The sequence below is a fragment of the Homo sapiens genome, chromosome 11, assembly GCF_000001405.40.
Source record: "Homo sapiens chromosome 11, GRCh38.p14 Primary Assembly".
Lineage (NCBI taxonomy): Eukaryota > Metazoa > Chordata > Mammalia > Primates > Hominidae > Homo > Homo sapiens.
This window is the reverse complement of record NC_000011.10, coordinates 33,986,487-34,011,621: the sequence shown is the minus strand read 5'-3', so window position 1 is coordinate 34,011,621 and position 25,135 is coordinate 33,986,487. Positions and strand designations below refer to the sequence as shown.

Genomic DNA, 25,135 nt, shown 5'->3' with positions numbered 1-25,135 from the left:
TTCTTACCACATTTAAAATGGAAACAAATGGACATAATCAGTATTGATAAACATCATCGCAGTTATTTATTTAGTCTTTTAAAAAGTTGAGTGCTTGGCCGGGTGCAGTGGCTCACACCTGTAATCCCAGCACTTAGGGAGGCCAAGGCGGGCAGATCGTGAGGTCAGGAGATTGAGACCATTCTGGCTAACACGGTGAAACCCCATCTCTACTAAAAAAATACAAAAAAAAAAAAAAAATTAGCCAGGCATGGTGGCAGGCGCCTGTTGTCCCAGCTACTCGGGAGGCTGAGGCAGGAGAATGGCGTGAACCCAGGAGGTGGAGCTTGCAGTGAGCGGAGTTTGTGCCAGTGCATTCCAGCCTGGGCGACAGAGCGAGACTCAGTCTCAAAAAAAAAAAAAGTTGAGTGCTCATGGCCAGGCGCGGTGGCTTACGCCTGTAATTTCAGCACTTTGGGAGGCCAAGGTGGGCAAATCACCTGAAGTCAGGAGTTCGAGACCAGCCTGGCCAACATGGTGAAATCCCATTTCTACTAAAAATATAAAAATTAGCTGGGCATGGTGGCAGGCGCCTGTAATCCCAGCCACTCAGGAGGCTGAGGCAAGAAAATCGCTTGAACCCAGGAGGTTGCAGTGAGCCGAGATCGCACCATTGCACTCCAGCCTGGGCAACAAGGGTAAAACTCCGTCTCAAAAAAAAAAAAAAAGAAAGAAAAAGAAAAGTTGAGTGCTCATTTCTGCCACTTCTTCTCAGTTAACCGCACTTGAGGTGGGAGATCTGCCATTTATACTGTGTGGCTATAACTGAGACATAATTACATAATTGCCCACTGGTGACAGCATACTTTAGTTGTAGGCAAAGCATCCAAAGGAAACTAAAAACATCTCAAGTACTAGTTGCACAAAACCTAAACAAAGGACAGTATTACTACTTAAATTTTTGAAGTTTAAGTATCTCAAATCATATATAAATTAGAAATACATGGCGTCTTATGCTTTAACGTTTTGTTCCTTTGTGGAATGTTTTAAATCTTGCCTATCTGATTTCTGTGTTTCAATAATTAGAGGGTAAGGCCTTATTAGAAGACACATAATTGTATGTGTATACAGACACACAGACACACACACACACGATACATATACATATATATGTCATATATTTATACACTCTCTTTTATTGTTTTTTCCCTCTCATATATAACAATTAGAAGTTAACATTTTTTGAAATTTTTTTCTTTTTTCTTTTCTTTTTTTTTTTTGAGACAGGGTCTCTCTGTCGTCCAGGCTGGAGTGCAGCAGCATGATCATAGCTCACTGCAGCCCCCAACTCCTGGGCTCAAGTGAGCCTCCTGCCTCAGCCTCCCGCATAGTTGAGACCTCAGGTGAGTGCCACCATGCTTGACTAATTTTTTAAAAATATTTTTTGTAGAGATGAGGTCTTGCTATGTTACCCAGGCTGGTCTTGAACTCCCAGCCTCAAGCGATCCTCTCACCTCGGCCTCCCAAAGCACTGGGATTACAGGTGTGAGCCATTGTACCCAGCTAAAATGTTTATTTTGGCTAAAGCTGACAAATGAAGAAATGCATCATCTTTAACTTTTAAAAATTTGATTCTTAAAAAATAGACTTATTGACATATAAAGGATGTATAGTAAGCTGCACATATTTAAAATGTTCCATTCATAAGTTTTGACATATGTATGCACCCATGAAACCATCACCAACAATCAAGATAGTGAATATATGCATTGCCCTCAAAACTTTCCTCATGCCCCCTTTGTAAGTGCCCTTATGGCCCCTACTCCCTTCCCAAGCAACCATGATCTGCCTGCCACTATAGATAGAAAGTTTTGTATACAAATGGAATCATCATACAGTGTGTACTTTTTTATGTCTGGCTTCATTCACTCAGCATAATTATTTTGAGATTTATCCATATTGTTTCACATATCAGTAGTTTTATTACTGAGTAAAAGGAATATAGAGCTTTAATAGCTGATCTTAAAATTCATAAAATAGAAGTTTGCTAATTCTATTAATCTTTTTTTTTTTTTTTTTTTTTTTTTTTTTAGACGGAGTCTTGCTCTGTTGCCTAGGCTGGAGTGCAGCAGTGCGATCTTGGCTCACTGCAACCTCCCCATCCCAGGTTCAAGAGCTTTTCCTGCCTCAGGCTCCTGAGTAACTGGGATTACAGGCGTGCCACCACGCCCAGCTAATTTTTGTATTTTTAGTAGAGACAGGGTTACGCCATGCTGGCCAGGCTGGTCTTGAACTCCTGACCTCGTGATTTGCCCGCCTCAGCCTCCCAAAGTGCTGGGATTACAGGCGTGAGCCACCGCGCCTGGCTCTATTTAATCTTTTACTTGAACATAATAACAGAGGGGATTTTTGTCAGAAGTGGTAGTTCTGAAATTCATTAGACATGAGGCCTTATAATTCTGCTGCTCCTCTGGGAGCTACCAGGTTTCCCCGTGACCTTAAGTATCTAGCACAAGGTTGTCCAACTTGAAGCCCATGGGCAGCATGTGTCCCAGGATGGCTTTGAATGGGGCCCAACACAAATTCGTAGACTTTCTTAAAACATTATGAGTTGTTGTTTTTTTTTTTTATAGCTCATCAGCTATCATTAGTGTTCGTGTATTTTATGCGTGGCTCAAGACAATGCTTCTTCTTCCAGTGTGGCCCAGGGAAGCTAAAAGATTGGACACCCCTGCTTTAGCAGTTCAATTAGTTTATATTCATATTACAAATTACATGTGTTAGGAGAAGGTTTGATATTGACTTGAATTGTAGAAACATAGAATTTCTTTTCTTTTCTCTTTTTTTGAGATGGAGTCTCACTCTGTTGCCCAGGCTGGAGTGCAGTGGTGTGATCTTGGCTCACTGCAGCCTCTGTCTCCCGGGTTCAAGTGATTCTCCTGCCTCAGCCTCCTGAGTAGCTGGGATTATAGGCACACACCACCATACCTGGCTAATTTTTTGTATTTTTAGTAGAGACGGGGTTTCATCAGGTTGGCCATGCTGGTCTCGAACTCTTGACCTCAGGTGATTCCCCTGCCTCGGCCTCCCAAAGTGCTGGGATTACAGGTGTGAGCCACCGCGCCCAGCCTCAGACACATAGAATTTCATGACTAGGGTGAGCTTTGGAGATTATCCTGCCTGCCTCTTCATTTTACAGATGAGAAGTTGGAAGCCCAGAGAGTTTAAGGGGTCTGTCCAAGGTCACACAGAACTGGTTTCTTTCAACATTACAGAGAGAATGACAGGGGCTCTAGGTGGAGGATGCAGTCAGATCTCTCCTGAGCTGCATCATTCCTGGCTGCAGACCTCTGAGCCTCTGCTTCATCTTCCTCTGTCCGCTACCAGCAGTTCACCCCCACCAGTGTCCCACCAGCTTCTGTGATGAGGTAGACGACCTTGCTCCACCATAGCAAGCTGATTGCAGCCCTCTGATGCTTGAGAGCAGCTGAGAAACCGAAACTTCAAGAATGATTCTGCCCAGCCAGGTGTGTTGGCTCATGCCTGTAATCCCAGCACTTTGGGAGGCCAAGACAGGTAGATTACTTGAGATCAAGAGCTCGAGACCAGCCTGGCCAACATGGTGAAACCCCGTCTCTACTAAAAATACAAAAATTAGCCGGTGTGGTGGCATGTGCCTGTAATGCCAGCTACTCTGGAGGGCGAGGCAGGAGAATCGCTTGAACCCAGGTGGTGGAGTTTGCAGTGAGCCGAGATCATGCCATTGCACCCAGCCTGGTTGATGGAGTGAGACTTTGTCTCAAAAAAAAAGGCCAGGTGCAGTGGCTCATGCCTGTAATCCCAGCACTTTGGGAGGCTGAGGTGGCTGGATCACGAGGTCAGGAGCTTGAGACTAGCCTGACCAACATGTTGAAACCCCGTCTCTACTAAAAATACAAAAATTAGCTGGGTGTCGTGGCGCGTGCCTGTAATCCCAGCTACTCAGGAAGCCAAGGCAGGAGAATCGCTTGAACCCGGGAGGCGGAGGTTGCAGTGAGCCAATATCGTGCCACTGCACTCCAGCCTGGGCGACAGAGCGAGACTCCATCTCAAAAAAAAGAAAAAAAAAAAAAAGAATGCCTTTGCCCAGCCCAGCTGAGCTACCAAATTTAACGGGTGTGCCTGCTCTCCTAGTTACCTTAGAACAGCCTTCAAGGTGTCTCTTTCCTAAACAGAAACCCAAATGGACAACAGAGCAAAAGATTCTTGCCGAAGCCTAGAGAGGAAAGACTGGGATCCATATTTAAACACTTGGTTTATCCCCCTCTCTTTATTCTTCCTCCCACAATACCTCTGAGGCCAAGAAGGGGCAGCATTGTCCTCCTTCTTCTTCCTGTATGGAACGCTACAGTTCACTAGCCTGGACCTTGATAAATAAAGATAGACGTAAAGGAAGATCCACAGTCCTCTCTTGCTAGAGTAGTGCATGAAAATCCTATTTTTGAGTGTCAGAAGCTGGATTTCCTCTTTGCATTCCTCTGTAACACTTTTAATCTCCCCAGGCAAAAGGATGCCTCAGGAAGACAAGGGTGGAAGTCATGTGTTCTGACAAGCTAAATATAAAAGCACATGAGTAATTTTCAAATGACCAGTATTACCTCCATTTCACTTGTCATCAGAATGTCCTAATTAATACCCACCTACTCAGACTTGCAATAAAACTACAGCTGCCCCAAAGCCAGGCACCTCCATAATTGATCCTCTTTCCACTACAATGGTGGTAATAGCTAACATTTATGAACATTTACTATGTACTATGCAGTTTATTTCGTTTAATTCTCATAACAACCCTATGTTGTAAATACTACTGTTACACCCATTTTACTGATGAGGAAACAGCCTTAGTGAGGTGACCTGCTCAAGGTTACATACGTAGTAAGTGATAGAGGAGGAATCTGAAGCTTGGTTTTCAGCTTCTAGCTGCTTCCTTCCTAGTTTTTACCTACTAGTCTCCACTGCTTCCCATTTGATCACCATATACACAATGGTTAGGTCTTTAGACTGAACCAACCAATTTAACCCAACTGGAGTAGAAGCAGTTTTTCCAAGATCTTTCCTACCAACTGAAGTTAATTGAAATGTACAATAAAATCTGAGAGGATGTGTTTATGTCAAAACTACAGTTGGCTAACTTAGAAGTTATTGCTTCTAGAAATCTTGGCAGTAGTGATAGTTTAATTACCTTAAGTGAAGATACTAGCTTAAAAACAGGACAGGTGTGGTGGCTCACGCCTGTAATCCCAGCACTTTGGGAGGTTGAGGCAGGTGGATCACCTGAGGTCAGGAGTTTGAGAGCAGCCTGACCAACATGGCAAAACCCCATCTCTACCAAAAATACAAAAATCATCTGGGTGTGGTGGTGGGCACCTGTAATCCCAACTACTTGGGAGGCTGAGGCAGGAGAATAGCTTAAACCTGGGAGGCAGAGGTTGCAGTGAGCCAAGATCACGCCATTGCACTCCAGCATGGGTGACAGAGCAAGACTCCATCTCAAAAGCAAAAAACAAAAAACAAAAACAACAGGCAATGCTTCAATAAGAACAATGCAATGTACCTTGGCTTTAAAGCCAAAGCATGTTGCAATTAAGTTATAGATTAATAAATCATTGTTCTAACCTTTATTTTCCCTTTGCCCTAATTCTTCATCTGTACTTTATCCTTTTATATGGAATGATTTTTTAAAGCTTCTGCAAATACTGTTGGGAATGAAGTAGGAAGAGTTAGTAAATGAATGAATGAGTGCATGAATCACTGCATTGAAAAGGTTAAATAATAACAACTAAATTTTGTATGCCACTTTGTAGTCTTGTACACATTCTTTACCATTAACTGTGAACTTTTCAGAGACCAATTCTGCACTTATCTTTGTGTCACCAGGATCTGACACAATTCATTCATTCAATAAATATGTTTGGAACTTCAGAAAAAATGATAGTACAAAGAGCTTGTCTTCAAAGCGCTTATAATGCACCGGATAGTGCCAGGTCTATTGGAAGAACTCGGTGAATATTCACGAAATAAATCTCTCTTCATCTCCACAAAAGAACCTTGTGTGAAAAATCATTTCTAGTTTTAAGAAAGATGTAGAGAAACCATATGTCCTGTTCGTGGTGGCATATTGGAAAGAGAGATGGCCAGATATTCGAATCCAGGTATTTGGACCCCAAAGTCCTTGCTCTTTCTACCACATTAACAAAAACCACACAAGGCAGGTGGACACAGGTTTTTTCCATCTGTCTAGCATTTCTGTGGGTACCCACCAAGGTGCCGAGGGAGGATGCAGGTGAAGCACACCTTCCCAATCAGAGGCCTGCATGCTCCTGGGCATGAAATATCCAGAAATGTGCACATTACTCATGCCAAGCCAATAGCAATAACTGTCTTCCCCCAAACTTGGCATCTTTAAACAAGGATGCATTATTTCTTGTGATTCTGTGGGTTGACAGGGTGTTCTTCTACCCTGTGTGGCGTTGGCTGGATTTACTCACAGCTGCATTCTGCTGTCAGCTGGGCTGAGCTGAAAGGTCCAGGACCCTAGTAATGACTGTCTGCTGAGGTGCCTCGATTTTCCTTCATGGGCCTCCTTCCATGTGGCATCTCATCCTTCAGGGCCTCTCTGTGGGGCCTCCATCCAGTGACATAGCCTGGACTTCTTTACAGCATGGCAGTTGGGTTCCTAGACAGCAAAGCAAAGGCTGTTTGTCTTTCAAAGGCCTGGGTTCAGAAGTTCCAGAATGCGTGTTGGTCAAAGAAACCATCTCAGGTTCAGGAGGAAAGGAAATAAACTCCACCTCTTGACGGGAGAAGTGGCATGCTCACACAACAAAGCGAAGAACTGTTCATGGGAATCTACCCCGGAGCCCTCTCCATGACAATTATAACACCCATTTTCCTGGGAATCACAGAGGCTAAGAATCACACACACCCAGAGCTGCTAGGGCCATCTTTGCAGCCCGGGGACAAAGCCTGCTTGAGGACGAAGCCATTCCAGAGGAAAGCAGAGCCAAGAGGTGGAGAAAAAATGGTGAAACTCAGTTTTCCACTCAGGTGGAACACAGAGGCGGCAGAGCTAGTGATTAAGAGTATAAGATTTGGAGTGATATGGCCCTTAGCTCCCATCCTGGCTAATTATTAGCCATGTGACTTTGGGAAAGTTATATAATATCTCCAAGCCTCAGACCTATCATCTGTACACTGTGGATGAAAATAGTACCTGCCTCCATAGGATTGTTGTGAGGATTAAGTGTGATAACTTTTGTAATGAGCTTAGCAAAGTGCTGGGCATAGTCTAAGCTCCAGTAAATGATTGTTGCATATACTGAGATAAATTTAGAACCTCTTTCCCACAGACATTCTCCTTCCTGCGCTGGACCTCAAAGGTCCCAATCCAAGTAGAAACTTGGAAAATCTTTAATGTATAGCAGGAGATATTGTATGCCAGAAATCTTGTAATTAACATATTCTTTTTTAAAAAAACGTTTTAATCTCTTAAAATTTTGGTAGAGACAGGGTCTTGTTATGTTGCCCAGGCTGGTCTTGAACTCCTGGCCTCAAGCAATCCTCCCACCTTGGCCTCCTGAAGTGTTGGGATTACAGATGTGAGCCACTACACTGGACCAGTTAACACATTCTTTTTCTTTTTTTTCTTTTCCAGACAGGGTCTCACTCTATCACCCAGGCTAGTGTGTAGTGGCACCATCTTGGCTCACTGCAACCTCTACGTCCTGGGTGCAAGTGATCCTCCCACCTCAGCCTCCCAAGTAGCTGGGACCATAGGCACACACCATCATGCCTAGCTAATTTTTTTTTTTTGTATTTTTTTGTAGAGATGGAGTCTCATCATGTTGCCCAGGCTGGAACACATTCTTATTTCTACTTTAAATATATGAAGCCAAAAATAACCAATGCCTGACTTTAATTGTGGGAAAAGAACAGTCAGTAGATTTTATGCTATTCTTAGGAAATGTAAGCTCTACACCAGGCAACTTTGATAGACGGAAGGACAATGCTCCATTTCCACAGGCAAGAAAGTGGCACCATATGCACCTGTTACATTTCATTTATTCCCATAAAGCTGAGTCCAAATTGTACACAGTTACTCCTTAGAGGTCATACAGATCCAAGTTTCAGGTCTCCTTGATAAGCTAAAGGTCACTGTTACTTCATCATGAATGTATGACATTATATTAGTCCATTTTCACACTGCTAAAAAGAAATACCGAAGACTGGATAATTTATAAAGGAAAGAGGCTTAATTGACTCGCTGTTCCACATGTCTGGGGAGGCCTCAGGAAACTTACAGTCATGGCGGAAGGTGAAGAGGATGCAAGCACCTCCTTCACAAGGTGGCAGGAAAGAGAAGAGCAAAGGAGCGACTTCCAAACATTTATAAAACATCAGATCTTGTGAGAACTCACTCACTGTCATGAGAACAGCATGGGAGAAACCACCTCCATGATCCAGTCACCACCTTCCCTCGACATGTGGGGATTACAAATCGAGATGCAATTTGGGTGGGCACACAGAGCCAAACCATATCAGACATGGAATACTTTCATCTTTTATGCATGACACGTTTATGCATCTCTGTCAATTTGTAAAGTGACTACATGTTTCTTTTGTTCTTTACTGGAATCATAGCCCAAGTCTGTGTTTGTACCTAGCAGATTATTCTGTGAATCTCAGGGGTCAATCTTGCACCATTCTGTCTATCTCTTTTATTGTGGTAAACTATACATAACATAATTTACCATCAGTAACATCTAGTATATTCACCATGTTGTATAACCATCACCTCTATCTAGTTCCAGAATACATTTTCTCTTAATTATCCTTCTGCCTGCACCCCCCACCCAGTTCTCCTTCTTTACCAAGCGTTAGAACCAAGTTCCTTGATTACCTCAGTTTATAGACTGGCCAGAGAGGGAACTAAAACAGATTACTTGAAGCCATGTGACCTAATCGGACTGGTTTGACAAGGCTGATGGCATCTGTTATGACTGCCAGCAGAGGACAGGGCTCTGCTGCCTGGAAGCACCATATGGCAGCACCTGTTTGCAAAGGGACTGGCCCACAAAGCACCAATTTTGTCTTTGGCTAATTGAGTGATTCGTATCATCTTTCCTGACATTACTCTGGAATTTTTAAAAAGTCAATATTTGGTAAAATACATTGTTGTTTTTCGATGACTGATAATCTTTGTAGAACCATGCTATAATTATTAGCAGTGTTTGCAGAAAACAATCAACATTCATTAAGCGTTTCATCTGGTGAGCACCGAGCTGCTAACTGATTTCTTTCTTTTGAGATGGGGTCTTTCTGTCTTGCCCAGGCTGGTCTTGAACTCCTGGACTCAAGCTATCCTCCTGCCCCAGCCTCCCCCACAGCTGAGATTACAGGCACGTGCCACTGAGCCCGGCTTGATTTCTTTTTTTATTATTTTTTTTTTTTGTCTGTCTCACTCTGTCACCTAGGCTGGAGTGCAATGGCACGATCTCAGCTCATTGCAACCTGCAACTCCAGGTTCAAGTGATTCTCCTGCCTCAGCCTCCAAAGTAGCTGGGATTATAGGCACACACCGCCATGCCCGGCTAAATTTTTTTTGCATTTTAGTAGAGACAGGATTTCATCGTGTTGCGCAGGCTGGCTTCGAACTCCTGAGCTCAGGCAATCCACCTGCCTCGGCCTCCCAGAGTGCTGGGATTACAGATGTGAGCCACCGTGCCTGGCCCTTGATTTCTTTTTCTTTTTTTCCACATAGACTTCTGTGTGCTACAGAGAACCCAGCTTGATTTATTACCATCCCAGTGGAGGAGGCCCCTTCATTAGCCTCATCTTACAGATGAAAAAAAAAATGAAGGCTCAACTTTTCTAAGAACATCTTAGCTACTGTGTTTTAGAGTCAGGATTCGAAATCTGGTCTGTTTGACCCTAGAGCCCAAGCTCTTAACTAATGGCAAATGTAACCATTTTTATTCCACAACAGAAAGCCAAACGTAACAGATATGTGAGAAATGCAGTCTGAGACTCAAGAGGAAAAGGCATCGTCAAATAAGCTGCCTGAACAAGTGAAACAGACCCTACAGAATGGCGAACTAACATTTCTTTTTGTTTTGTTTTGTTTTGTTTTGAGACAGAGTCTCACTCTGTTGCCCATTCTGGAGTGCAGTGGCACAATCTTGGCTCACTGCAACCTCCACCTCCCAGGTTCAGGCAGTTCTCCTGCCTCAGCCACCCAAGTAGCTGGGATTACAGGAGCCTGCCACCATGCCTGGCTAATTTTTGTATTTTTAGTAGAGATGGAGTTTCACCATGTTTGGCCAGGCTGGTCTCAAACTCTACTCAAACTCAAACTCAAACTCTACTCTCAAACTCTACTCAAACTCAAACTCACATGATCTGCCTGCCTGGGCCTCCGAAAGTGCTGTGATTACAGGTGTGAGCCACCGCGCTGACCACAAAGGAACATTTCTTCTTCTTCTTTTTTTTTTTTTTTTGAGACAGAGTCTCGCTCTGTCACCCAGGCTTGAGTGCAGTGGTGTGATCTCGGCTCACTGCAACCTCCACCTCCTGGATTTGAATGATTCTCCTGCCTCAGCCTCCCGAGTAGCTGGGATTACAGGCATGCACCACCACACCCAGCTAATTTTTGTATTTTTAGTAGAGGCAGGGTTTCTCCATGTTGCCCAGGCTGGTTTCAAACTCCTGAGCTCGGGTGATCCACCTGCCTTGGCCTCTCAAAGTGCTGGGATTACAGGTGGCAGCCACCGAACCTGGCCCCTTTTTCATTCCTGATATTGTTTATATCTTTTTGATGTATCTCACTAGAGGATTATCTAGTATGTTAATCTTTTCAAGTAAACAAGCTTTTGGTGTTGTTGTTGATACTCTTTCTTATTTATGTTCTATTTTGTTAATTTCTGTGCCTATCTTTCATCTTTCTTTCTTTCCTTTTCTTTTTTGGCATACACTCTGTGGTTTTTTCCAACATCTTTAATTGCATGATAAATTAATTTTAATATTTTTTCCCCAAATATATGCATTTAAGGTTATAAATTTCTCTTCAAAAACTACTTTAGGCTGGGCACAGTGGCTCATTCCTGTAATCCCAGCACTTTGGGAGGCTGAGGTGGGCGGTTTACAAGGTCAAGAGATCGAGACCATCCTGGACAACATGGTGAAACCCCATCTCTACTAAAAATACAAAAATTACCCAGGTGTGGTGCTGTGCACCTGTAGTCCCAGCTCCTCAGGAGGCTGAGGCAGGAGAATCACCTGAACCCAGGAGGCAGAGGTTGCAGTGCCACTGCACTCCAGCCTGGCCACAGAACAAGCTTCTGTCTCAAAAAACAAACAAACAAACAAAAAAACAAAAAAAACTACTTTATCTGTTTTGATATATAGTGCTTTGGTTGTCATTTAGTCATAAATAGTTAATAAGTTTCCTAATAATTTCTTAATTGATGTATTTATTTAGAAAAGTGTTTTAAATTTTCTAACTATATTGGGAGTATAGTTAGAAAAAAAACTGACTCCTTGTGCACCTTACATTCCCCAGTGTGCTTACACAATGTCATTATTACTCTAAAGGTGTGACAAATGACAGGCAATGTGCTGAGAGGAGATTAATGATATATAGGAGATCACTCTCTCTTTCCCTATGTAAGATGGTTATTATACAAAGAGAACCATCCTTCAGATTTCTTATTTGAAATTTCAGTTTATAGGTTCACCCGTCTATCCTTTGACATGGGACAGTTTTATAGCTAATGCAGGAATTGTAATTGCACAAATTTCTAGTCTACTGCTTCAGCCTTCCAATCACGTTTCTTACTAATAAGGTTGAGATCCCAAGTGAAACAGTTTGTGGACAGCTCACCACCACCTATTGTTATTCTAAGAAAGCTAACAAAGCCCATTGAAGATGAAGAGTATCACATTGTCATCTCTGTTCATGAAAGACAGACCAATTTTCACATGGGAAACAAAGAATGTATTTGAGGACAAAATGTTGGTGAAATAGTTTGGCTGAGTGAATGTTCCTGCAGCAACGATTATTGCCTCATCACCCAAAGGTGAAAGAACAGGGGAAAAATGGCACAGATTACATCCACCAGGTAACAGATGAGAGAAAGAAGAATATAGTTCAAAAGTTAGCAAGTACCCATATAGTCTTCTGTAGACCCTGTAAAAGGATTATTGCAATCATATTGAGCACTCAACCTCCACCCCCCATTTGAAAAACAAATCATGATAAGATTTAGTGCAATTTAGATGGATTCAGGAAGAACCATTTGGACAACACATTCTTGGCTGGCACTGGAAGGAAAGAACCAGCCGGGCATGGAGGCTCACACTTGTAATCCCAGCACTTTGGGAGGCTGAGGCAGGCGGATCACTTGAGGTCAGGAGCTTGAGACCAGCCTGGCCAACATGTGAAACTCTGTCTCTACTAAAAATACAAAAATTAGCCAGGCGTGGTGGCTGGTGCCTGTAATCACAGCTACTCTGGAGGCTGAAGCTGGAGAATCGCTTGAACCCGTGAGGCGGAGCTTGCAGAGAGCCGAGATTGCACCACTGCACTCCAGCCTGGACAACAGAGCGAGACTCCGTCTCAAAAAAAAAAAAAAAAAAAAAAAAAAGAACCAGACCAAGGATGGAATAAGTGCTAAGTGTCTCCCTGTGTCAGGCCCTGTGCTAAGCACTTTACATGCATTATGTTAAATTTTCTCATTAGTCTTTTGAGGAAGGTTTTAATATCCTTTATTTGTAGGATATATTGAAGCTCAGAGACTTGAGATGACATCTAAATTCGCATAGCTAATAAGTGGAAGAGCTGGATTTGAACCAAGCTCGGCTTGGCCAGCAGTCCATATTGCTTTTAAATAAAATGATGTGTGTCGTTTAGCAGTTTAAAAGGTTAAAGGTGTGATTACAAGGTATTCATACTGGATCTGTTTCTTTCCCACCTCCCTGAGCCACTAGAAGAGGAATTGAGGACAGGTATTTTTTCCCCTGATTTCACTGTTCAGTTCTGCCAGACTCCATCTCCCCCTCCACTATATAGTTAACACCATTTTAAAAAGTTCTGCAGCCCCCTTTCACCAGGTCTCAGTTTTGTTTTTTGTTTGTTTGTTTGTTTGTTTTGAGATGGAGAATCTCGCTCTGTTGCCCAGGCTGGAGTGCAGTGGCACGATCTCGGCTCACTGCAACCTCCGCCTCCTGGATTCAAGTGATTTTCTTGCCTCAGCCTCCCAAGTAGCTGGGATTACAGGCGTGTGCCACTATGCCTGGCTAATTTTTGTATTTTTACTAGCAATGAGGTTTCACTATGTTGGCTAGGCTGGTCTCGAACTCCTGACCTTAAGTGATCCGCCCGCCTTGGCCTCCCAAAGAGCTGGGATTACAGGCATGAGTCACCACACTCGGCCTCACCAGGTCTCAGTCTTGAACCTCTTGCCCTAACCCATTTCAAAGGCTGTGGACTGATCTGAACTTCAACTTCTCCCTGCCCTGCCACCCCCATACTCTCAGGTTGCTATCTTCACTGCTTTTCTCCAGTTTCTTATCCCTCTCTGCTCCCCTGGACAGCCTGCGTTCCAGGCACAGCTTTCCTGGCTAAGGGCATGATTCCTATCTCCTCCGTGGCTGTCTTGCCAGGGCCCCTTAGGCCACTCTGACTCCACTTCATTCCCCTCCCCCTCCCATCCTAATGCCATACAGTCTCCACCCCTCCTCCTTTCAGTTTCTGGCATTGACGAGTGGGAAATGCACTAAGCAGCTTCTATGTGCCAGGCACTAATCCACACATTTGCACCAGGGATGCAAATATGAACAAGTAGATCATTCTGTAATGAAGGAGGCCAACAGAGTTCTGAAACAATGAGACAAGTGTTCAAATACAGGCATGCACGGGATGTCCATGTCATGATAACAGTGAGATAGTCTCTTCTGATGCCAAAGTGGAGACTGGTGGAGCCTTCCCAGATAAGGTGAAGACTTACCTGAATCTAGGAGAATGAGTAGGAGTTTCCATAATTTCCCACCAGCTGGGTTGCTATGGTTATAGCTATAGTAGGCAACTGAAATTTAAGGAGTAGGGGTAGCAGGAGAGGTGAGAAAGTAAAAGGGAGGGTACTTTAGGACTTTTCATTTCCTCTGCACAATCCTTTAAGGTTAAGGAAAAAAATCATATTCCGGACTAGAGTTTCATTCTTCTGCTAACAGGGAGAAATTCCTTCTCTTCTTTCCATTTTGCAAAAATAAAATAGTGAGGGGGAGAGGAAGTTGTTACGTGAATAATTACCTTTCCCGTAATAACTACTCATTTTTAAAGGTGGTTACCGCGTGTTAGAGACGGCGCTGTGTGCTCTTACTGGATACAACGTTCTCAGTCTGTTCTGGAACTGCATTGTTTGGGGTTCCACCTGCTGGTAAGAGCTGGAAGTTCAGAAGTTCAATCACCCTGTCCGCGGGGCTCCATCCTCCTTGCCTTTAGGTGTCCTAGGGCCGAAGAGCCCTGACAGGTGTCTCGAGGTGAAGCTCAGACTGTTTGGACCTATTTCAGTGGGTTGACTGCAGCGAAGGGCCTGAGTGCTGCAGAAGCTGGCCGTGGCGTGGCGGGCAGTGGCCAAATCCAGGCCCCGGTTCTCTGCTACTGGAGCAACCATTGTTGCTAGAGTGGAATCTGCCGCAGATGGGGGTAGGGAGATCCGAGGATGGGTTGCAATTCCCTTGGGGTTACGCTCACGGAGGCAGCTCACAGCCCAAACGTCCAAGGTTTATATTTAATTCCTTCATGCAGCTCCAGGTGGGGAGAAACAGCAGATCCGGTGCGGATGTGCACCCCAACCCTTCAACTGAGAAGGAGCCAGAGCAAAGTGCAGAGGTGGGGCCTCAGCTCCCCAGTTCAGGGAAAGGGGATGCCTGTGCTCTGCAGAGGCCTCTTGTCATTGCTAAGCCGAGACTCCAGGGTTTGATTACTAATGTAATAAGCTTATTTTGCAAATTCAAGGTCTTAAGAGATAGACCAGAGCCAATTCCAGCATCCAGGACTTAAAGAACACAAAATCACCATCTACACTCTTCCTCTGGTTTATTGCCAAGGATGGCCACATGGTCTGTATCTCTTTACCCACTTGGACTTGTTTGTTGCCTTCTCCTGTCTCTGGATTCTTTCTGGGTTGCCCACATTCGCCTCAATATATCTAACTCCAAATCCCAGGGAGAAGGTTTGAGACTGGGGAAAGGGGTTAGTTGTCCTCACCCGAAGATCCCTGGGCTCACTCTGCAAACTTGCCCCTAACTCCCTACTGAAGGGAACCTCCTTCACTCAGTTAAGCGTCAGGCCCCTAGATGTTTCCTTGGTGTTCCTTGGTGGACAGGTCTATGCGACTTCATCCCCCAAAGTCCAAAGAAACTTGGAGAGGCTGAAGAAAGAGGCTGACAAATCCAGTTCCTTAGAAAGAAACATTTAGGGCTGGGCATGGTGGCTCACGCCTGTAATTCCAGCACTTTGGGAGGCTGATGCAGGCGGATCACCTGATGTCAGGATTTCAAGACCAGACTGACCAACACGTTGAAACCCCATCTCTACCAAAAATACAAAAATTAGTGGGCCATGGTGGTGCGCACCTGTAATCCCAGCTACTTGGGAGACTGAGGCAGGAGAATCGCTTGAACTCGGGAGGCAGAGGTAGCAGTGAGCCGAGATCGTGCCACTGCACTCCAGCCTGGACCACAGAGTGAGACTCTGTCTCAAAAAAAGAAAAAAAAAAAAAAAGAAATATTTAGTAGGGACTTGCCAACAGAAGCCATGTCTGTGTCTTGGGTGTCGGTTAGACAAAATGGTGGATCCCTGGGTCATCACCCTCCAGACCCAGGGCTTATGTACTCAGGGAAAGGGTGTTCGTGCTTCAGAAAAGATATGTAGGACAAATGAAGTACAATAACATCAAGGTTGTTTTTTAAAATAGTTAATAATAATCCATTTTATATTTCAAAAGAGCTAGAAGATTTGAAATGTTCCCAATACAAAGAAATGATACATTTCAAGGTGATAGATATGCTAAATACCCTGATTTGATCATTACACATTGCATGCATGTAGCAAAACATCACATGTAACCCATAAATATGTACAAATGTCATGTATCAATACAAGAACAATTAGGAAGCAAAATCAAGATTGTTAGATATTTTCATATTACATCTTAAGAGAAGAACTCTTTGAAATGACAGTGTCTCCTTTTTTTCAATTCTTGTAATACATTCAAAATTACTAGGCCAATTTAAGAAAACCTCATAGTCAAATTCACATTTTATTTTCTGGCTATTTCAGGCAAAAGAGAGGTTTGATTTAACTTAGCCACATGATTTACTCATGAATCAACAAAGTTGTTTTGACCTAAGGGCAGGATTTATAGTAAGTAGATGCTCTCACACAAAGAACAATAGATAAACAATATTTTAGAGATGTTCCTGGAACTGGAGTTAATCAGAAGTCAACATGGTGCAACATGGAGTCAACTCCAGGACGGCATTGCTTTGGCCTCCACATTTAAGGAAGGAAGACTCTAAAGATATCTTCAGGTCAGGCGCAGTGGCTCATGCCTGTAATCCCAGCAATTTGAGAGGCTGAGGCAGGCAGATCACTTGAGGTCAGAAGTTCGAGACCACCAACATGGTGAAACCCCGTGTCTACTAAAAATACAAAAATTAGCTGGGCGTGGTGGCACGTGCCTGTAGTCTCAACTACTCGGGAGGCTGAGGCAAGAGAATGGCTTGAACCTGGGAGGTGGAGGTTGCAGTGAGTTGAGATTGCGCCACTGCACTCCAGCCTGGGTGATGGAGTGAGCAAAAAAATACAAAATAATAATAATAAAAAAGATATATTTAAAGGTAATCTACAGGCCGGGTGAGGTGGCTCATGCCTGTAATCTCAGCACTTTGGGAGGCCCAGGTGGGCAGATCACTTGAGCTTGGGAGTTCTAGACCAGGCTGGGCAACAGGGCAAGACTCCTGTCTCTACAAAAAATACAAAAATTAGCTGGATATGGTGGCACGCACCTGTAATCCCAGCTACTCAGGAGGCTGAAGCAAGAGGAGCACCTGAGCCTGGCAGGTGAAGGTTGCAGTGAGTCAAGATAGAGCCACTGTACTCCAGCCTGGGTGACACAGTGAGACCCTGTCTCAAAACAAGAACAAAGGTAATCTATATTAAACTGCTGGCAGCTTCTTTTGCTGAATAAGAAAGAAAAAAAAATTTGTTACACACAGATTATCTCATATAATCTTCACAGTAATTCTGTGAAGTAGGCATTATTGTTATTCTCATATAGTTAAGAATACTAAGGCTTAGTGGCACAAAGTAATTGCCCAAGTTTTCAGTGGTCCATAGCAGAGAAGCAAATCAAAATAAGTTCTGTTGGACTGAAAACTCTCACACATGCTGCCTCACTTCCATGGAAAGAGCCCCCATCCTCAATGAATAATATTCACTTAAGAATAAAGGATATAGGCCGGGCGCGGTGGCTCACGCCTGTAATCCCAGCACTTTGGGAGGCCGAGGCGGGCGGATCACGAGGTCAGGAGATCGAGACCATCCTGGCTAACACGGTGAAACCCCGTCTCTACTAAAAATACAAAAAATTAGCCGGGCGAGGTGGCGGGCGCCTGTAGTCCCAGCTACTCGGGAGGCTGAGGCAGGAGAATGGCGTGAACCCCAGGGGGCGGAGCTTGCAGTGAGCCGAGATTGCGCCACTGCACTCCAGCCTGGGCGACAGCGAGACTCCGTCTCAAAAAAAAAAAAAAAAAAAAAAGAATAAAGGATATATTGCAAAGAATGCAAAAATCAAGGATGGGTTTCATATTAACTCACTGATATTATTTATGTTTGGGTTTGTCCTCTGTGTTTGTTATGGGCTGAATTGTGTGCTTCTCCCTCCCAATTCCTATGTTGAAGTCCTAAACCCCAGTACTGAACAATGTGACTGTATTTGGAGATAGGGTCTTTAAAGAGGTAATTAAGGTAAAATGAGGCCATACGTATGGGCCCTAATCCAATGGCTGCTGTCTTCATAAGAAGAGGAGATTAGGTTCGGCTGGGCGTGGTGGCTCACGCCTGTAATCCCAGCAATTGGGGAGGTGGAGGCTGGTGGATCACCTGAGGTCAGAATAGCTTGACCAACATGGTGAAACCCTGTCTCTACTAAAAATACAAAAATTAGCCGGGTGTGGTGGCGGGCACCTGTAGTCCCAGCTACTCAGGAGGCTGAGGCAGGAGAATTGCTTGAACCAGTAAGTGGTGGCTGCAGTGAGCCAAGATTGCATCACTGAACTCCAGCCTGGGCGATAGAGTGAGACTCCATCTCAAAAAAACAAAAGAAAAGAAAAGAAAAGAAAAGAAAAGAAAAGAAAAGAAAAGAAAAGGAGATTAGGACACAGACGTGCATGGAGGGAAGACCATGTGAAGTTGTAAGAAGAAAACGACTGTTATAAACTGCATGTTTGCGTTTGCCCCAAAGTTTTTTTTTGTTTTTGTTTGTTTGTTTGTTTGATATAAGGTCTCACTCTGTTTCCCAGGCTGGAGTACAGTGGCATGGTCACAGCTCACTGCAACCTCGACCTCCTAGGCTCCAGTGATCCTCCTACCCCAGCCTCCCAAGTAGATGGTACTACAGGCATGCACTACCATGCCCAGCTATTTTAAAAATTGTTTTGTAGGGATGGGGTCTTGCTATGTTGCCCAGGCTGGTTTTGAACTCCTGGGCTCAAGCAATCCCCTGGCCTTGGCCTCTCAAATTGCTGGGATTACAGGTGTGAGGCACTGCCCCCGGCCTCCCCTCAGATTCTTATATTGGACCCTAACCCCTCCTGGGATGGCATTAGGTGGGGGAACTCTTGCAGGTAATTCAATTGTAAGCATGGAGCTCTCGTGCTGGGACTGGTGCTCCTATAAGAAGACAAAGCTAGCTTTCTCTCTGTCTGCTTTCTGCCATGTGAGGATATAATGAGAAGGTAACCACCTGTAAACCAGGAAGCATGCCCTCACCAGACACTGGGTCTGCTAGTGCCATGATCTTGGACTTGCCAGCCTCCAGAATTGTGAGAAATAAATGTTTGTTGTTCACACCAACCAGTTATGGTAATTTGTTATAGCAGCTTGAACTAAGAAAACCACCATTTATGAGCCAAGGAAAGAGGCCTTAGCCTGAAACCAAACCTGCCAATGACTTGAGTTTGACCATTTATCCTCTAGAACTGCAAGGAAACAGATTTCTGTTGTTTAAACCATCTACTCTGTGCTACTTTGTTATGACAACCCTAGTAAACTAATCTTGTATTTATAGCTCTTGTTACTAATAATATTTCCCATGAAATCAACAAAATAGTTTTGCATAAAGAATAAGTTGGTCCTGGCTGGGTGCAGTGGATCATGCCTGTAATCCCAGCACTTCGGGAGGCCGAGGCAGGTGGATCACTTGAGATCAGGAGTTTGAGACCAGCCTTGCCAACATGGTGAAATCCTGTCTCTACTAAAAAAATATGAAAATCACCTGGGTGTGGTGGCATGCACTTATAATTCCAGTTACTTGGGAGGCTGAGGCAGAAGAATCGCTTGAAACCTGGAGGCGGAGGTTGCAGTGAGCCAAGATTGCACTCCAGCATGGGTGACACAGCAAGACTCTCTCTCAAAAAAAAAAAATAATAAAAAATAAGCAGGTCCTATGATATTTCCTTTACAGAACTGCTGTCTCCAAGAGTGTTTTTTCCTAGGTGCAAGGAGGAGAGACTGGAAAATGGGAAACACAATTAACATGAAGAAAGAAGCATCCTGAATGTTTTCTTTTCCACCATGGTCTTATGTTTAGTTACCATTTAAAGCTTGAAAGTAGCTGTCTTTACTGAACACTGAATGTGAAATGCTTTACACACATTTAACCCACACAGCTATTCTACAAGGTGACTGTTATTCTCATTTTACAGAGGAGGAAACTGAGCCATCAGGAGAAAAGCAATCTGTGGTATTGTGTCCAGAATTGTGGGGTTCTTGGCCTCACTGACTCCAAGAATGAAGCCGCAGACACTCGCGGTGAGTGTTACAGCTCTTAAGGTGGTGCGTCTGGAGTCTATCCCTTCTGATGTTCAGATGTGTTCGGAGTTTCTTCCTTCTGGGGGGTTCGTGGTCTCGCTGGCTCAGGAGTGAAGCTGCAGACCTTCGCAGTGAGTGTCACAGCTCTTAAAGCAGCGTGTCTGGAGTTGTTTATTCCTTCCGGTGGGCTTGTGGTCTTGCTGGGCTCAGGAGTGAAGCTGCAGATCTTCGCGGTGAGTGTTACAGCTCATAAAAGCAGCATGCACCCAAAGAGTGAGCAGTAGCAAGATTTATTGCAAAGAACAAAGCTTCCACAGTGTGGAAGAAAACCTGAGCAGGTTACCAATGCTGGCTCGGGCAGCCTGCTTTTATTCTCTTATCTGGCCCCACCCACATCCTGCTGATTGGTAGAGCCAAGTGGCCTGTTTTGTCAGGGCGCTGATTGGTGCATTTACAATCCCTGAGCTAGATACAAAGGTTCTCCACGTCCCCATCAGATTAGTTAGATACAGAGTTTCGACACACAGGTTCTCCAAGGCCCCACCAGAGCAGCTAGATACAGAGTGTCGATTGGTACATTCACAAACCTTGAGCTAAACACAGGGTGCTGATTGGTGTGTTTACAAACCTTGAGGTAGATACAGAGTGCCGATTGGTGTATTTACAATCCTTGAGCTAGACATAAAGACTCTCCACGTCCTCACCAGAGCAGCTAGATACAGAGTGTCGATTGGTGCACTCACAAACCTTGAGCTAAACACAGGGTGCTGATTGGTGTATTTACAATCCCTGAGCTAGATATAAAGACTCACCACGTCCTCACCAGAGCAGCTAGATACAGAGTGTCGATTGGTGCACTCACAAACCTTGAGCTAAACACAGGGTGCTGATTGGTGTATTTACAATCCCTGAGCTAGATATAAAGACTCTCCACGTCCCCACCAGACTCAGGAGCCCAGCTGGCTTCACCTAGTGGATCCCGCACCGGGGCTGCAGGTGGAGCTGCCTGCCAGTCCTGCGCCGTGCGCTCGCATTCCTTAGCCCTTGGGTGGTCGATGGGACGGGGCGCCTGGAGCAGGGGGTGGTGCTCGTCCGCGAGGCTCGGGCCGCACCGGAGCCCATGGAGGGGGTGGGAGGCTCAGGCATGGCGGGCTGCAGGTCCCTAGTCCTGCCCGGCGGGAAGGCAGCTAAGGCCCGGCAAGAAATCGAGCGCAGCGCCGGTGGGCCAGCACTGCTGGGGGACCCAGTACACCCTCCGCAGCCACTGGCCCGGGTGCTAAGTACCCCATTGTCCGGGGCCAGCAGGGCTGGCTGGCTGCTCCGAGTGCGGGGCCAGCCAAGCCCACGCCCACCCGGAACTCCAGCTGGCCCGCAAGCGCCGCACGCAGCCCCGGTTCCGGCTCGTGCCTCTCCCTCCACACCTCCCTTCAAGCTGAGGGAGTGGGCTCCGGCCTTGGCCAGCCCAGAAAGGGGCTCCCACAGTGCAGTGGGGGGCTGAAGGGCTCCTCAAGTGCCACCAAAGTGGGAGCCCAGGCAGGGGAGGTGCCGAGAGCAAGCGAGGGCTCTGAGGACTGCCAGCACGCTGTCACCTCTCAGTATTTTACAGAGTAAGTAGTGGTAAAGACCCACGCTTTTCACTATATTATTTTGACTGCTGTGATTCACTGCCCTCCTTCTCTACTGCTTCTTAAACTTTCCTGGTTAAGTGTTAACAAACAGAGGTATAGAGAGAAGGGCTGGGTCTTGCCACTCAACGTGTGGTCTTTGGACCAACAACAGGTATTACGTGGGAGCTCGTTAGAACTGCAGAATCGCAGCCTTAGCCTAGCCATGCTGAGTCAGGATCTGCAAGTGTAGGTGCGACTCCACAGGCCTCACACCCATGGAGCTGGCCCTGCCTACAGGAGAGACATCTGCACGTGAAAGCATGAGAAGCATTGTCCTAGAGGATTTTGTGATGCAATCTTTCACCAACGGGATGGCTTTAGTTTTATCTTTTTGCCTTTTTATCTCAAAGTATTTTAAAATGTTTCATTTATGCTCCTTAATATATCCATTGGTCTTACTATAAAATAACATTTACCCCAAAAAACCTTGAAGGAAAACTGATACTCTGATATGGTTTGGCTCTGTGTCCCCACCCAAATCTCATCTCAAACTGTAATTCCCATATGTCAAGGCAGGGATCTGGTGGGAGGTGATTGGATCATGGGAGTGGTTTCTCCTGTGATGTTCTTGTGACGGTGTGTGTAAGTTTTCATGAGATCTGAAGCTTTGAAAGTGTTTGGCAGTTTCCCCTGTCTTCTCTTTCTCACCTGCTGCCATGTAAGACATGCCTTGCTTCCCCTTGGCTTTCTGCCATGATTGTAGGTTTCCTAAGGCCTCTCCATCCATGCAGAACTGTGTGTCAATTAAACCTCCTTTCTTTATAAAGTATCCACTTTTGGATATGTCTTTATAGCAGGGCGAAAATGGACTAATACATACTCTTAGATGATACACTGTGTTTACTTACCGTATCAGTACCTACAGGATTCTGCTTATTCCAGAAAGTCCACACATCCTAGTGTGGAAAACCTGGGCTTAGCCCATCCTAGGTGTAGACTGCAGAGCCCTTGCGTAGATGCTTTTGACAGAATCACCTCCATATGAGTTTCATGTCCTATTTGTCCAAGAAGTTGAGCATTCATGCAATGTCTCCTTAAACCCCTTATTTAAGCTCTCCAAATCTCAGTCTTCTCATCTATAAAATGGGAAGAATAGCACCTATCATCGAGGTATGTTGTGAAGTTTAAACAAATAATACATAAGGCCGGGCATGGTGGCTCATTCCTGTAATCCCAGCACTTTGGGAGGCTGAGGGGGGTGGATCGCTTGAGTCTAAAAGTTCAAGACCAGCCTGGGTGACATGGTAAAACCTTGTCTCAAAAAATAAAAACAAAAACACACAAAAAACTAGCCGGGCATGGTGGCGCATGCCTCTAGTGCCAGCTACCCGGGGGGTGGGGGGTGGGTGGGGAGGCTGAAGTGAGAGGATCGCTTGAGCCCGGGAGGCGGAGGTTACAGTGAGCTGAGATTGTGCCATGGCACTCCAGCCTGGGTGACGGAGAGAGAACTTGTCTCGAAAAAAAAAAAAAGAAAAGCTTAGAGTCTGGTGAAGATGACTTTTATATTTTTCAGTGAGAGAAACTATTTCTAAAAAGAACTCTAAGGTCACTGGGAGGAGCAACAGCAGCAGCATTGACAAGAGGGTCTCTTACACCAAGTCAACGTTCGTCGGTTGCATATTAAAGAATAAGAGCTGGGCAGCACTGTGGATGCCCCTCAAGGCTCAAGGGGGCGCTCTAAGCTTCAATTCTAGGGACTTGGCAAGCACATTCAGCCAGGGCTTGTGCTTTGAATACAAGCAGAGGCAGGGGAGTTTTGCAGAGAAGGAGGTAGGTGGGCTGTGCTTAGGAAAATTGGATTTTCTGCCAGTCTGGGCATGTGGAAGCTTGAGAGATGCATTTGGGAACATTTTTGGGAAAATATTTTTTACCTCTCAAATTCTACAATTGAATATGGTAACTTAAATATATGTATATATTTAGGTTATATACATTAAACATGCTATTGTAAAAATTTCAAATATTAGAGAAAGTGTAGCTTTGAAGGTGAAAGTCCCCCCACTATGGCCCTTCCACTTAAAGAAGAAAAAGTGTTAAGCGTATTTGTTATGCATATTTGCTATGTAAAGTGTTAAGCGTATTTGCTATGACTAAATTAACTACTCAGCTAAATCACTATATGTATACAAGAACATACGCATATGTTTTTATATAAGTATAAGTGCTGACATTTATTTTTTATTTATTTATTTTTTGAGACATGGTCTTGCTTTGTCACCCAGGCTGAAGTGCAGTGGTGCCATCTTGGCTCACTGTAACCTCTGCCTACTGTGTTCAAGTGATTCTTGTGCCTCAGCCTCCCGAGTAGCTGGGACTACAGGCATGTGCCACCATGCCTGGCTAATTTTTAAATTTTTGGTAGAGACAGGGTTTCGCCATGTTGGCCAGTCTGGTCTCGAACTCCTGACCTCAAGTGGTCCGCCTGCCTCGGTCTCCCAAAGTGCTGGGATTACAGGTATGAGCCACCATGCCTAGCCATGAATGCTGACATTTAGCTTCACAAGGCTAACTTGAGCTGTGAAGCAAAAGCCTGGAAAGCTTGTGTCGTGTGGCCCAGGACATGCTCTTCCCATGAGCAAGTAGCACAAAAAGCAAATTATCAGAAACTTACGATCTGAGTGTGGAAACAAAACAAAGGGAGGAAATTAATCTTCTGAAATTTCTCTCAACTAAGAGGGTACCCTTCTCTTACTCCCCCTCCAGCACATCCGGGAACTAGTATCTCACAGCACATATTTTGAAAAATGCTGACTTTCTGTTTGTCATTTTTAGGTTTCCTTAAAGCAGAAATTATAGCTAGGTTATGTTGTTGCCTTTTAAATTATTTTTTTTTTAGTTTATTTTTTTATTGATCATTCTTGGGTGTTTCTCGCAGAGGGGGATTTGGCAGGGTCCTAGGACAATAGTGGAGGGAAGGTCAGCAGATAAACAAGTGAACAAAGGTCTCTGGTTTTCCTAGGCAGAGGACCCTGGGGCCCTCCGCAGTGTTTGTGTCCCTGGGTACTTGAGATTAGGGAGTAGTGATGACTCTTAACGAGCATGCTGCCTTCAAGCATCTGTTTAACAAAGCACATCTTGCACCACCCTTAATCCATTTAACCCTGAGTGGACACAGCACATGTTTCAGAGCGCACAGGGTTGGGGGTAAGGTCACAGATCAACAGGATCCCAAGGCAGAATAATTTTTCTTAGTACAGAACAAAATGAAAAGTCTCCCATGTCTACTTCTTTCTACACAGACACGGCAACCATCCGATTTCTCAATCTTTTCCCCACCTTTCCCCCCTTTCCACTCCACAAAACCGCCATTGTCATCATGGCCCGTTCGCAATGAGCTGTTGGGTACACCTCCCAGACG

At 44.8% G+C, this 25,135-nt stretch overlaps 3 annotated features.

Moving 5' to 3' along the window:
- Positions 14,158–14,658: an enhancer, noted in NCBI's record as "H3K4me1 hESC enhancer chr11:34018511-34019011 (GRCh37/hg19 assembly coordinates)". NCBI's record gives its function as "activates a minimal SCP1, AML or CMV promoter by ChIP-STARR-seq in naive H9 embryonic stem cells {active_cell/tissue: H9 hESC(naive)}" and the evidence as "EXISTENCE:reporter gene assay evidence [ECO:0000049][PMID:30033119]".
- Positions 14,659–15,159: an enhancer, noted in NCBI's record as "H3K4me1 hESC enhancer chr11:34018010-34018510 (GRCh37/hg19 assembly coordinates)". NCBI's record gives its function as "activates a minimal SCP1, AML or CMV promoter by ChIP-STARR-seq in naive H9 embryonic stem cells {active_cell/tissue: H9 hESC(naive)}" and the evidence as "EXISTENCE:reporter gene assay evidence [ECO:0000049][PMID:30033119]".
- Positions 21,302–21,873: an enhancer, noted in NCBI's record as "H3K27ac-H3K4me1 hESC enhancer chr11:34011296-34011867 (GRCh37/hg19 assembly coordinates)". NCBI's record gives its function as "activates a minimal SCP1, AML or CMV promoter by ChIP-STARR-seq in primed H9 embryonic stem cells {active_cell/tissue: H9 hESC(primed)}" and the evidence as "EXISTENCE:reporter gene assay evidence [ECO:0000049][PMID:30033119]".